The following is a 12,029-nucleotide window of genomic DNA, read 5'->3' as shown; positions in this document are numbered from 1 at the left end:
CATCTTTAAATTTCTCAGTAATTTTTATGGACCTGATAACATTTTCCATATCAGAAACACCCACTAATGATTGGATTACATGTATATATACATTGTATATTATATATATAATATATATACACATACACATATACATTACATATGCTATTAACTGAACACCTGCTATGTGACAGAGAGCAGTATACATATTTATTGCAAATTCTCATGCCTACATAATTAGTTGATATTATTTTCATTTATTTAACATGAAATAATTAAATTTAGGTATATTAAGTTACTTGACTAAGTTCATGCAGCACTTAAGTTATATTGCTTATATTTAAATTCAATTACATTTGGCTTCAAAATCTTACTCTTTCTTTGATTTCATGCTGCCCCTATGTATAGTGAATAAGCTCAGATAAAATTAAGTCCTCTGGCCAGTCAAGATGCCACAAAAAAACATGTGTAAGGTTTGCAAATTTTGGACATGACTAGTCCTTTAAAACGCAGAAAAATTACCAACATTCCTTGGAAATAACATAGCTGCATATTTACCACTGCTTGTTAGAACTTCCTTCTAAAGAAACTTGTTCCTTGAAGCAGCTTATGGCTTCACAATATGTAGCACATTCTAGTACAACTGTGTATCCAACATCAACCGAATACGTAATGGAAAACATAGCTTCACAGCAGATTTTACATCTGCTATTTGAGAAGACATCAAATCTGATTCTGAAAATCCTGACATCATCTACAGTCTCAGTTTTAAGAGAAAACTCCATTAAATCTGCAACATATGTAACCATTTTCAGAGCCACATTTCAGTAGAGTGGAAGTCAGCTGTTTATAGCACATTCTTGGTGCTACAGTATGAATGTTTGTATTTTCCCAAAATTCATCTGTTGAAACCCAATCACTAATATGATGGTGTTAGGAGATGGGGCCTTTGGGAGGTGATTAGGTCATGAGGGTGGAGCTCTCAAGAATGTGATTAGTCCCCTTACGAAAGAGGGCCCAGCAAGCTACCTTGTCACTTCCATCATGTGAGGACAAAGCTGGAAGGCACCATTTAGGAACCAGAAAATGGGGCCCTCATTAGACAATGAACCAGCTGCTGCCTTCATCTTGAACTTCTCAGCCTCCAGCACTGTGAAATATAAATTTTTATATTATATAAGCCACCAGGTTTGTAGCATTTTGCTATAGTAGCCCAAATAGACTGACAATTGGTTCTCACTGTATCTGCAAGCACAGTTCCAAACCACATATTAGGTTTTCAAAGAAGTTATATGTTGCTAATGAGGTGGTAGCTCCCAAGCCTGGCATGGGTCACTTAGTTTCATTCTAACCTCCTCCAAATTGTCTTTGCGCTGGGTGTGGTGGCTCACACCTGTAATCCCAGCACTTTGGGAGGCCAAGGTCAGTGGATGGCATGAGCTCAGGAGTTTCAGACCAGCCTGGGCAACATGGTGAAATCCCATCTCTACAGAAAAAAATACAAAACTTAACCAGGCATCGTGGTGCATTCCTGTGGTCCCAGCTACTTAGGAGGGTGAGGTGGGAGGATCACTTGAGCCCAGGAGGCAGAGGTTGCAGTGAACTGAGATTGCACGACTGCACTCCAGCCTAGGTGACAGAGTGAGACCCTGTCTCAAAAAAGAAAAAGAAAAAGAAAAAATAAACATTATCTATATCACTAACCTCATTCTCCTCATCCCTACTCAACTGACATATCTCTCATTTTTTTTTTCTCATCCCCAAGTAGCTAATTTTAATTGTGGTTATGATCCAATAGGATTTTGGGCATATCTTTATTATTAGAGATGGCAATTGGATCATTAATTGTATCAGTGATAAAATGCTGTATTTTATTAGTACTGTATTGTATTGTACTATATTGTATCTTTTCTTATCCTAACAATGAGGATGAGTTCTTCAAGAGCAGAGCATAATTTTGTTTGTTTGTTTGTTTGTTTGTTTGTTATATCCCTGACCCTACACACAGGGATCAATACATGCCCATTAAATGAGTGAATAGATTAGTGGATACCATATATTACACCTTGAACATGAAACAAGATGATTAGGATGGCTATGGGAGTCAAGTATGTCCAGGTACAGTGATATGCCTCCTATTTTGCAAAGTGACAAAGTGCATACTCTGCTGATAAAGATACATTGCTTTTTATACATTATATTGAGCACATTTCCTTCATTTCATCCACTAAGAGAGTGAGCTATAATATCACTCAAGGGTCAAACGAAAACAGAGTTTAAAAATACTGACTGTAAAATACTTTATGAAATTTGTATTATTTTTAAAACTTCAAGGACACTCAAAGGAAAAAAAATGAGTTAAAATGCTAAAAGAGAAATTCCGTGTACTGTAGCAGCTGCTGTAAGCTTTTTAATAGATACGCAGTTTTGAGTATTACTATGAATAAGTACCTAATACAAATAACTCAATGATGTATTTCTCAGGGAGGTTTGTCTGTAAAAGAATGACAGTTTTGAGATGTCTGTAGAATCTTTCTGAGCTTCGTAACACTCAAATTGCATTTCTGTGATTAAGTAATACAAGAATGCATGCTTCATTTAAAGATTCAGAACCCACAAAAGGCAAAATACACAAAGCCATATAATGCAGAAATAACTAGTTCCATGAAGGTGATTTTTATTTTTTTTTAAAAATTACATACATAGAAAAAGCAGAAAAGATAAAATCAAGGCCAGCTTTAATTCAAAATAACTCTGTTTTTCTTATTTCTAAAAATGTATAAGACGAAGTACCCAAGTGAAAGAGACCACAGCTATTTTGTCAATACGTTAATCTCCTTGTATTAAATTTTGAGATGCATGCTAGGTAAAGCTGTTATTTGTCACTCCAAAAGATCAATCCTTGTGGAACTATACTAGGGAGCCCATTGTCCAGTCTTTAGCTAAATAATTCATAATCGCATAAATCGATGGTGTAGTTCAACTACCTATGTGAAAATTATTGGCTTTATAGATTCTGTATAATCCAGAGAACTTTAAAAATTCTATGTAAAATGTATATAACTACCTTACTGGTGGTGAGGTAGGTGAGAAGACCTAAAAGAGTATGTAAAGTCTTCTAGCTCAATAATAGGCTTATAGTAGATACTCAAAAACAATAGTTCATGGGGTCATGCACAATCTTTTAATTGCCTATTGGTCAGAAATTTCAGGCTTATGTTATAATTAGATTCCATAAAGCATAATCAAGAAACAGAGTAGACTGTGAAGTTTGTGTAGTGCTGTCTCAAGTGAAGTATCAGTGACTTCTGGTTCACTTGTTTGCCTTAATCCTTCTCATTACTGCAGGTGTGCACACTCCCCTGAGTGCATGCCTTTCATTCCACAGGGAGTCAGTGGGGGATGTTTTACATGACAAAGAACACACCTAGGATGCCTTTTTGTTTGTGCCATTTAGGAGGGTCATGGGCTGAAGGAAAAATGCAAGAAAAATTCAGCCACTCTCTGCATGCCAGGAAGGATGTAATGTTGTCTTATAGATCTTTTTACCAGATCAACTCTTTTTTTTAATAAGCTTAAATATATTTATCTAACTTCCAACACATGGCCCCACATAATGCTCTCAATATGACCTGATTTCTGTACTCTCACAATCCAAAGCACTGCTTTCATACTTTCTTGAAATATCTATGACTATGAATCTTTGTACTTAGGCACCTATCACATCCCATAATCCTTTAGGAGATACCCCGTGCTTTATACGTTTATGATGCAAAGGATATTTATGTCTAGTAGATATACGGTAAATGTTTCATGATTTGGTAATGTTCCTGGAGGAAAGATAAGACCAACCACTCTTAATTGTGGTGTAAATAAGAAAAGGAGAAATTGGCTGGGCGCAGTGATTCACGCCTGTAATCCCAGCACTTTGGGAGGCTGAGCTGGACGGATTGCCTGAGCTCAAGGGTTCGTGACCAGCCTGAGCAACACAGTAAAACCCCATCCCTACGAAAACTACAAAAAATTAGCTGGGCTTGGTGGTGTGCACCTGTAGTCCCAGCTACTCCAGAGGCTGAAGCAGGAGAATTGCTTGAATCTGGGAGGTGGAGGTTGCAGTGAGACAAGATCACGCCATTGCACTCCAGCCTGGGTGACAGAGCAAGACTCTGTCTCCAAAAAAAAAAAAAAGAAAAGAAAAGAAACTTATTAAAGCCAATCACTTACTGACAAATGCATTGTACTTGACTAATTATTCCTCTTAATTTTGGTATTTAATTATGCCTTAAGCATCCGTTACAGACACTATTTATACCATAATAAACCTTAATAAACCTTTCATTACCATATGTATCACTTTGCTCAGCTGGGTTGCAATATTATCTCAGTGAATTATGCAAGAAGCTTCTTGTGTTTTAATAATTCTTTAGCCCTTCACAATGCTTTATATATCTTATTTATACTATATCAGTTTTTCCCCACTAAGCTCAGATTCTCTTTCTATTCTTTATATTTCCATCACTCCCCAGTGTGAACCCTTAAATACAACCAAATTCAATCATGGGAAGTATCTAAAATGTTCCCTGCTATGTTGCAATTCCAACAGCCAAGAATTTTCTTCCTTTCCTCCTGCCTCTCTACTCACAACTTGCTTTGTCTAATTTTAGTTTAATGGTCTCCTCTATAAATATTTCACTCACCATCTTTCTTTTAGCTGAATTAAAAGCTTCTTCTAGACCAGTACGCCTCTTCGTAGCACTGTCCCTACTATATGGTAAGCGCATACTTATTTCTGAGAGTTACTTGAAAACATAAATTGTGCCTTCCTTGTCTGTGTCACCCAGTCATCACACAAAACACAGCACAAAATAGGTGTTCAACATAAGTTGTAAAATAGGCAAAAATGAGGATGTTAATCCTATGTAAACAATCAACTTAAAAGAAAAGTTAAACTTGAATCTTTTTTCTGCTACATCCACATCAGATAAAATTATTAGGGAAGCTGTGTTTCTTTTTTCTTGTAGTAATCCCTTGTACTAAACATAAACTGTTTACAAATATAAGAATATTCATCAGCAGCCTAAAACTGGAAACTACCCAAATGCTTATTAATAATAGAACAGATAAATATATTAGGTTTATTCAAACAATGGAATACCATACCACTATGAGAATAACAAACTGGAGCTACAAGCAACAATTGTGGGTGAATCCTCAAACAATGCGGAGCAAAAGACACCAGATAAACAAAAGTGTATGGTCTACAATTGCATTTATGTAAACTAATGTATTAGAAGTCAGGATCGTGGTTATCCTTGGCAGAGATGAAAAATTAGAAGAGGCGCTGGGCGCGGTAGTTCATGCCTGTAATCCTAGTGAGAGGTGACAGCGTGCTGGCAGCCCTCGCAGCCCTTGCTCGCTCTCGGCCTCTCCTCTGCCTGGACTCCCACTTTGGTGGCGCTTGAGGAGCTCTTCAGCCCACCACTGCACTGTGGGAGCCCCTTTCTGGTCTGGCCAAGGCCAGAGCTGGCTCCCTCAGCTTGCAGAGAGGTATGGAGGGAGAGGCGCGAGCGGGAACCGGGGCTGCGCGCGGCGCTTGCGGGACAGCTGGACTTCCAGGTGGGCGTGGGCTTGGTGGGCCCCACACTTGGAGGGGCTGGCCGGCCCTGCCGGCCCCGGGCAATGAGCGGCTTAGTACCTGGGCCAGCAGCTGCGGAGGGTGTACTGGGTCCCCCAGCAGTGCCGGCCCACTGGCGCTGCACTCGATTTCTCACCGTGCCTTAGCTGCCTCCCCGAGGGGCAGGGCTCGGGACCTGCAGCCCGCCATGCCTGAGCCTCCCCTCCTCCGTGGGCTCCTGTGCACCCGAGCCTCCCCAACGAGCGCCACCCCTGGTTCCACGGCGCCCAGTCCCATCAACCACCCAAGGGCTGAGGAGTGCAGGCGCACGGCGCGGGACTGGCAGGCAGCTCCACCTGCGGCCTCCGTGCGGGATCCACTGGGTGAAGCCAGCTGGGCTCCTGAGTCTAGTGGGAACTTGGAGAACCTTTATGTCTAGCTAAGGGTTTGTGAATGCACCAATCGATACTCTGTATCTAGCTACTCTGGTGGGGACTTGGAGAACCTTTATGTCTAGCTAAGGGATTGTAAATACACCAATCAGCACTCTGTCTCTAGCTCAAGGTTTGTAAACACACCAATCAGCACCCTGTGTCTAGCTCAGGGTTTGTGAATGCACCAATCGACACTCTGTATCTAGCTACTCTGGTGGGGACTTGGAGAAACTTTATGTCTAGCTAAGGGATTGTAAATACACCAATCGGCACTCTCTATCTAGCTCAAGGTTTGTAAACACACCAATCAGCACCCTGTGCCTAGCTCAAGGTTTGTGAATGCACCAATCTACACTCTGTATCTAGCTACTCTGATGGGGACGTGGAGAACCTTTGTGTCTAGCTCAGGGATTGTAAACACACCAATCAGCGCCCTGTCAAAACAGACCACTCGGCTCTACCAATCAGCAGGATGTGGGTGGGGCCAGATAAGAGAATAAAAGCAGACTGTCCCAGCCAGCCATGGCAACCGCTTGGGACCCCTTCCAGACTTTGAAAGCTTTGTTCTTTCGCTCTTTGCAATAAATCTTGCTGCTGCTCACTCTTTGGGTCCACACTGCCTTTATGAGCTGTAACACTCACCGCGAAGGTCTGCAGCTTCACTCCTGAAGCCAGCGAGACCACGAACCCACTGGGAGGAACGAACAACTCCAGACGCGCCGCCTTAAGAGCTGTAACACTCACCACAAAGGTCTGCAGCTTCACTCCTGAGCCAGTGAGACCACGAACCCACCAAAAGGAAGAAACTCCGAACACATCCGAACATCAGAAGGTACGCGCCGCCTTAAGAGTTGTAACACTCACAGCGAGGGTCCACGGCTTCATTCGAAGTCAGTGAGACCAAGAACCCACCAATTCCGGACACACTAGCACTGTGGGAGGCCAAGGTGGGCAGATCACTTGAAGTCAGGAGTTCAAGACCAGTCTGATCAACATGGTAAAATGCCATCTCTACTAAAAATACAAAAATTAGCTGGGCGTGATGGCGGGCGCCTGTAATCCTAGCTACTGAGGAAGCTGAGGCGGGAATCGCTTGAACCGGGGAAGTGGAGGTTGCAGTGAGCCAAGATCACGCCATTGCACTCCAGCAGCCTGGTCGACAGAGCGAGACCCCATTTCAAAAAAAAAAAAAAAAAATTAGAAGAGGCATAAAGGGTTTTTCCTATGCTGGGCATGTTCTGTTTCATGATTTGGCTGGTGGTTACTTGGATGTGTTCAGTTTGTGAAAATACAAACTATACACTGACGATTAGTACAATTTTCTATCTACTTGTTACTTTTCAATAAAAATGTGTGGAAAGTAGTAGCATTGATGGCAGAAGCTAACAATGTTTTCTAGTGAGGATGAGATACATAGACATGGAGAAGTATGAAATGCTTTCTATTCATCATTCTCCCAGGAAATTTAACTGTTATGTTTAAAGTTCCTAAAATCTTTTTAAATTTAGAACCATCTGACACAAGCTGAATAAAGAAAAAATATGCAAACAGAAGTACACATTAGAGATGAGAATAAATTATCAGATAACATATTGGATTTTATTGTGTCTAAGAAGACACAATATGAAAGCCATATCAAAGGACAGTAATTACCAAAAAAAAAAAAAAAAAAACTAAGTCCTCATGATATAAAATTCATTACAGCAATAAAAATAGTAGTTTTGAGATGCATAGTATATAAGCTGTATGCCCATATTTATTTCTTATAAATAAGCCTGATTCTATTACCAGGTAGGTTCCCTTCAAGGCTACACGATTTTTCCCAATTGGATTATAGGTTGTGGTTACAGATGTGCATTACATGATGGAATTCACCTAACAACAAAATGAAATATATTCTGCTCAAGAGGTGGCCTCTTGTTCGCTTGTCTTAACTTTAATCGTGGGGAAGCCAAAGTAAAAGTTGATATATTTATGTCGTGTGTACTTTTCACATGCCACAGGAACATAATTGCTTCTACTTTCCTTAACATTAAATGAATGAAAAGCTACATTGCATGCCCATAAAAATGAAATTCTCTTAACTGTCTTCAGCTTACTTCTTACCTGAGTACTGACATAAGTTGATTATTTTTGCCAATATAGAGGGAACATATCCCATAAACTCAGAGTTGGAAAATGCAGAAAAACAGAAACATGTAAATTAGTTATAACTCCTTCACACACAGATATGCTATGTTGTTTTCTTTTCTATATATTTTTTTGTTTGTGTGTTTCACACAGTGGTAATCTTATTACATAAATTATTTTGTATCTGGCGTTAACACTTTCCATACCTGTCCACGTGACTTTTAAGTTTGACCAGTGCCAAAAGCAATGTATTTAATATAAATATCTATTAGTACTGTTAGAAAATTTTATCAGGGCAAGTTACACACACAAACAAGCAGGCATTAAGTAAGCAGTAACTAATGCCATTCACTGGGTGGTTTATAATTTACACACTTATGAGGGAATCAGTAGTTATTAGTTATTAAATTTATTTGTGTGTTTGTTTATTGATTGATTGTGATAAGTTACTAAATACCAAAAAATGTCAGGAATATATAAGTGACAATTCATTTAATTCATTTTTACTGTCATTTTTATTTCAAGTATATCTTCATTCCAGGGTATATAAGCATTCCAATAAACTTCAAACTAATGCAAGTATCAGCAGCTGATTTTTACCAATGTACATGTCTACTGGTTATTTTATAATTAGTATTGCCATAAGTATCTTTTGAGCTAGCCTATATTGCCTCCTTCTGTAAATTACATGTTTCTAGAAAAAAAAATCAGAAAGCATGGAAATCTGTGGTGTTTGTATGTATGTGTGCTTATAGAAAGACTTCTTCCTACAAACACTACAGTGGAGTCAATAAGCAACTAGATTTAATCTTGTTAGAGAATAACTGATATAGCTATTTAAAGTTGTTGATACAATGAAAGAATTCATTCACTACATGTAAGAAGTGACATGTCTTCTGAAGACTTCTTTTGAGTCTTTGACTTCTGAAGACTTCTTTTGATCTTTGAAACTATAGAATTTCAATTGCATGTTAGATAATTGCTGGGTATTTTAAAGTATTTACTGTCAAATTGCAATTTTAAAACAGACATTCAAAAAACTTAAAACATGCATTTTCCGCATCATTACAGGCAAAAGGTAAAAGTTGGGGTTAGTCATGGATATCTTTAAATTTTAGTTTATTTATATACAAATACTACCTTGTTTATTTGTGTTATAATTTATTATATTTCAGTATATTTAATTATTGAAGTTTAAATTAAATATAATCAGTATATTATTCTTTTATATATTTTAATCATTGAATTACATATTATATAATTTTATATAATATAGGTTATATATTATATAATTTCATATAAATTATTTAAATATGTATGTATATATTTATATATACATGAGTATTAAATATGTGAAAGGCTTTTTATAAATATATAAAAGATGTAAAAAATTAAAAATTAACACATGACAGAATTTAAAGAATACATGGCTTAGTTGTGAACTTTCTTGCTTGCCTCTGTCCAACCTCATTTCTTCCACTTTTCCCCACAGACATTTTATCTGCTTCCCTGTGTTCTGTAATAAAATATCCCTCTGCAACAAAATATCCCTTGTCTTTCTTATTGTTTTCTTATACGTATGTATATATATATATATGGTTTAGTTTTTCCCATGTTAGTTGTCTATTTAAATGAGCCATAGCTTACATATTTTACTACAACTTTTTTTTTACTTAACATTTTTAATCATGAATTCAATCATGATGGTGTAAGAGACTGCAATTCTGTTATTTTCAATGGTTTATAGAGTCCCATTAAACAAATAATTCACAACTTATTTATCCTATCTCCCATCTGTTTTCACTTAGGTTTATCCAAACACCTTCCCTTTATTTTTGTCCTTATAAACATTGCTGTTATTAACATTCTCATATCTATCTACTGGTAAAAATGTGCAGAAGTTTTACTAGGGTATCTGCTCAGGAGTGGGATCATTGAAGCATGCAGAACACATTTCCCAAAGTAGTTGTCTTACCAACAGAATAATAGTTTCTCCACAGCCTTACCAATGTTTAATGATGCAGAATTCTTTAATATTTCCCATACTATGAGTTAAAATGTTATCACTATTTGTAAGATTTCTAGGCTTTACAGAATAATAAATAATGCATTAATGAAACTTGATGGACAAATCTAAATTAGGCATTTCAAGATAGGCCTCCCTGCTATTTACGAGAATGCTGAACTGTAACCTTATTGAGTCATAAACTAGTTCCAATATGTGGTCTGATTTTTAGAAAGAACAAATGTTTGTAATATTATGTCCCACCATTTCTCTATAATTCACCATGCTTTTGGAGGAACATCTTGAGTTTGTGTGTGTGTTTGGTTATAATATACACACAAAAATAGCAACTAGAAAATGACTTTATCTAGAGAGCATCCTCATTTTCAAACACTTTTTCTTTAGATGGTTCTGTCTCCATAAGATTTTTGTTAATTTCAGGTAGCTTATTTACATTAGGTCTGAAGAAGATTTTTCTAGCTTAGAAAACCAAATTCATGAGACTGTCAAGCAAACATCAGTAAAAAAAACAAAAAGAAAAAAGAAAAAGGAAGCCAATTTTATGTGAAATAAACTAGTTAGGAGAGTATGAAATAATCCAAGCAATAAATATTTAACAGTACAAATAAAACCATGTTTTCGGTGTTAATACAGAGACAAAATTAGAAGATACAATTAAGTGTCCATCTTAAGTTATTTCTCAAAGATTACATATTATAAGGCTTTCTGTACTGGAAAGCCCCAAAGCCCAGTCCTACAAAGTTACGGTATTCTACCACGTACTTAGGGTAAGCTACTTAACTTATTCCAGATTAGGTTAATGCCACATGATGTTTTTCTAAGTGTAATGGCTGCATTTAAAGCTGAGCCTTTCTGGAGGTACATATGGGTATTGTGTGCAGTTATCTAAACAAGCTTAAGTCCCATCAAACCGCAAGCCTTCTGGGGAATCTGCCACCACAGAAGCCAGAGGACATAGAGATCTTCTGGTCCACTGTTTCTTTTTGATGAATGGAATGTTTCAAGCACATCAACAATTTCAGCATGTAGAGTGCCGGTAGACTCCTAAGTTCACTTAAAAACCATAAAATGTATAAAAGCAACCAAATTTATGGAATTTTTCATGGTCCTGAAGCCATTTTCATTGTCACATATATACATTTATATAGATGAGACCACAGTAATGGGGAGAAACCAAGTTGCTGAAAGTGTCAATAGCATTCCTTGAAAGATTAAACTGTAGCCAACAGGCAAAGAGGTAAAGCATTATTTAGTCCTCTACCAAGAAAAAAGTTCTTAATAGATTCTCACTTATTCAAGTGAATAGTATCATATTTTTACATATTTTTGGAAAGCTAATATTTCCAAATTATGGAAATTTAGCTTTGTATTTCCATTGTATTCACTGATACTAATACATGGTGCCAGTGAAATTTAGCTCTGTGTGCCTAAGTCTTTATGCACATAAGACTGGCATTGATTTAGTCTTGATAGCACATATCCTATTTCTACTAGATTACTCTAAAATTGTTTGACCAAAGGCTATGGGGAAATTTTGGCCCAAGTGAAAATGTATAATTTAATTTGTGAAGAGTTTTCATATACTCTAAGCTTGGCTTTTCTTTTCCTTGAACATTTTACCAAATTCACATTTGGTATTCAAAGTGTGGTCTGTGGAACAACAGCTTTGGCATCACCTTGAGCTTCTTAAAAATGCAGGTTATAAAGCACCATCCCAAACATACTGAACCAGAATCTGCATTTTAATTAGATCACTAAGGATATTTTATTATCACTGTCTGAAACACAGCTTCATGACACACATATGTATGTAAGCACATAAACGCAAACTCATGAAATTCCATGC

General features: G+C 37.3%; 1 protein-coding gene across 12 annotated transcripts in view, besides 1 other annotated feature; it reads right to left on the bottom strand.

Moving 5' to 3' along the window:
- Nucleotides 1–12,029, bottom strand: part of RBMS3 (RNA binding motif single stranded interacting protein 3) — a 729,325-nt gene that overhangs the window by 530,977 nt on the left and 186,319 nt on the right. The gene's annotated exons all lie outside the window — the stretch shown is intronic.
- Nucleotides 3,062–3,741: an enhancer, noted in NCBI's record as "OCT4-NANOG-H3K27ac hESC enhancer chr3:29517169-29517848 (GRCh37/hg19 assembly coordinates)". NCBI's record gives its function as "activates a minimal SCP1, AML or CMV promoter by ChIP-STARR-seq in naive H9 embryonic stem cells {active_cell/tissue: H9 hESC(naive)}" and the evidence as "EXISTENCE:reporter gene assay evidence [ECO:0000049][PMID:30033119]".

The sequence above is a fragment of the Homo sapiens genome, chromosome 3 (genome assembly GCF_000001405.40).
Source record: "Homo sapiens chromosome 3, GRCh38.p14 Primary Assembly".
Classification (NCBI taxonomy): domain Eukaryota; kingdom Metazoa; phylum Chordata; class Mammalia; order Primates; family Hominidae; genus Homo; species Homo sapiens.
Note: the sequence above shows the minus strand (reverse complement) of the source record. Positions and strands in the feature narration are given on the sequence as shown.